The 3,212-nt window shown below is 46.8% G+C and overlaps 1 pseudogene; it reads left to right on the forward strand.

Moving 5' to 3' along the window:
* RPL23AP69 (ribosomal protein L23a pseudogene 69) lies at window positions 1,347-1,864 on the forward strand (annotated as a pseudogene).

Genomic DNA, 3,212 nt, shown 5'->3' on the forward strand with positions numbered 1-3,212 from the left:
AGCTGTAATCCTCAGGAGGATGAGGAAGGAGAATCGCTTGAACCTGGGAGGTGGAGGTTGCAGTGAGCTGAGATTGCACCACTGCACTCCAGCCTGGACAACAAGAGTGAAACTCTGTCTCCACAAAAAAAAAAAAAAAAAAAAAATTGAGAAACAATAAAGGTGTATGTGTCCAAGTGTGCCTATTAACAGCGCTGTAAATGATGTATCTGAAAGAGCCATATAGACATGTGTGCTTTTGCATGCCAGAGTTTCAGAGGTCATCCAAGGAAAGGAAAAGAATGAGACTTCTATGTCAGACACCAGGTCTGTGCTAGATGAGAGAGCACGGAAGCACCTGCGGCTTACATTTAGAACAACAGAGGAGTTGGACAGGGGGGATGGTACAGCAGCTCATTGGCTGCCTGATTCAAGGCCAAAATCAAAGGCTGGATGCCTTTGCACTTCACTTGCATGGTTTTCTTTTTAAAAAGTGGCATCACGTGGAAATTTGTGCACTCTCTCAGAATCCTTCCAACCTGCTGTGAGAAATGTGTGCTAAGTGCACTTTTAAAAAGGAGTCAAGAATGATTTTTCTTACTGCAGTAGTTTGACTTCACACTCGAATAATGATTTTATGCTCACCTTGACTGTTTTCATGTCATCACTGCCTGGACTCACACACCGCATGGGAACTGCTCAAAGACAGTAGCAGCCACTGAGTAGTTTGGGAAATGCTTCATTCCACATCACCCTCAACAACCCTGCTCTTACTTAGTACAAGTGAGAACCATCACCGCTGGCTTGAACCCACCCATGAAGAAACACGGGCTGAGGAGGGGAAGCACCTGGTAAGAAAAAGAGCTTTGACTTTCAACTAACAAGCCATGGGCCTTCAAAGAAATTAACCGAATAATCTGAATAAAATATAATAAAGCAAAAAAGTAAAGTTTTTGGATAAAGACTGTGGATTTTTTTGACTCTTCATACTAACACAATTCTCATCCCTCCAGCTGAGTTCACCTGACCCGAGACTGCATAGCTTTGCTTCACTTCTTCCAGGAGCTCACAACACCTGTGAGGCTGAGTGACTCGAGGAGTGACTAAGAGATTGGCCCAGTCCTGTTTGCTCCTGTATGTTATGTATTGACACCGAGGACACTTCTTTCTGTCAGATGTGCAGGAACAAGAGCCCCCTTCTCCTCCCTGGCCATGCTACCTGATGCCCATGAGTACTCCACAGTCTCCAGCCAGAGGCACGTCTCACTCAGGTGTTGTCCAATTATCTGGATAGCAAATGGAGAAAAAAAACCACCCATCACCCACAAAACAGATCTTCCAACTGCTGCTTTTAGAAAAGCTCTTTGGACCCTTTTCACAAGATAGCGCTGAGGGTGAAGAAGGAAGATCCTGCCCCTCCTAAAGCCAAAGCAAAGGCTCTGAAGGCCAAGAAGGCAGTGCAGAAAGGCATCCACAGCCAGAAGAAGAAGGAGAAGGAAAAGAAGAACCACACACTGGTCCAAGACACTGCAACTCTGGAGGCAGCCAAAATATCCTTGGAAGAGTGCCCCCAGGAGAAACAAGCTTGACTACTATGCCATCACCAAGTTTCTGCTGACCACTGAGTCCACCATGAAGATAGAAGACAACAATACACTGGTGTTCATTGTGGATGTTAAAGCCAACAAGCACCAGATCAAATAGGCTGTAAAGAAGCTCTATGACATTGATGTGGCCAAGGTCAACACCCTGATTCGGCCTGATGGAGAGAAGAAGACGTATGTTCCACTGGCTCCTGAGGACCATGCTTTGGATGGTCAACAAAATTTGGATCATCTCAACTGAGTCCTGCTGGCTAACTATATATACATATATCTTTACACCAGAAAAAAAAATTTTTTTAATAAAAATTTTAAAAAAATTTTAAAAAAGCTCTTACAGGCCAGCTGCGGTGGCTCACGCACTTTGGGAGGTCAAGGCGGGTGGATCACCTGAGGTCAGGAGTTTGAGACCAGCCTCACTAACATGGTGAAACCCCATCTCTACTAAAAATACAAAGATTAGCCTGGTGTGATGGTGTGTGCCTGTAATCCCAGCTACTCGGGAGGCTGAGGCAGGAGAATCACTTGAACCGGGGAATCGGAGGTTGCAGTGAGCCAAGATGGCACTGCTGCACTCCAGCCTGGGTGACAGAGTGTGACTCCATCTCAATTAATCAATCAATCAATTAATAAATCAGCTCTTACATTTTCCTGGTTGAAGCTGTGGCTACATCACCACCTGCTATGCTTGGCACAGTTCTTGGCCCCCAGGAGGGACTCAGTAAGTGTTTGTTGAGTGAGCAATTCACACTGCACAGCCTCTGTCCTTCTGCACATGGTTGTCCCAGCTCACTTACCTGCACTGCCCCTCTAAGTGAGACCCCTTGTGCAGGACCCGTGCAGGATAGATGTCTCAGCACCTGGGGCCGGAATCGCAGGGAGCATGGAGGTCCTACAGAATGGGCCAAGCTTCCAGAGCTGGTGTGGATAGCAGGAGCTCCGTAGAGACCACATCAGCATCTTCTCTTCTATTTCTACTTTTAGAATAAAGGAAGTCACTCTCCTGCTTAAAACCTTCCAGGAATTTTCCCTTTTTCTTAGGGTGATCAAGTCTGAACTCCTTAACCCGGTCTACCTACCCCTGGCAACATGGCTCTTTTCGCTCTGTCCTAACCCACCTCCCGCCACTGTCCCCTTCGTCCACTGGGCTCTGGCCACCTGGCTCCCAAGTGCCACCTGCTCACTTGCTGCCTCAGGCTCAGCCTACTCCAGCTCTGCTCCCACCTCATCTGTCCTTCACAGCACTCTCTCCATTGGAAACAGATGCTCACTGATGTAAGCCTCTCCCTTCAGACCATGAGCTCCATGAGGCAGAACCTCATCCGTCTTGCTCATCATCATCCCTATGAGAGGCAAAGTAGCAAAAGCCAAGCCAAGCTTGCTCATTCCAGCAGAATTTCACAAAGCCCCTGACTCTGTGACGACATACAGCAGCTCTCCGAAAAGATGCTTTGAAGACAAAACAGGATAGAGCACGTGGCTCCCTATGTCTCTTGCCAGAGTCACTATATTCCTTAAAAGATAAATGACCCTAGAGTCCTTGCCTTTTCCTACACAAAATGTCTGATGGGGTTAGGGATTATTCCTCTGTAATCTATAACCAGATGTGCTCTTATACCCAAACCTTGATGT

This window comes from Homo sapiens, chromosome 13, assembly GCF_000001405.40.
Source record: "Homo sapiens chromosome 13, GRCh38.p14 Primary Assembly".
NCBI classification, from domain to species: domain Eukaryota; kingdom Metazoa; phylum Chordata; class Mammalia; order Primates; family Hominidae; genus Homo; species Homo sapiens.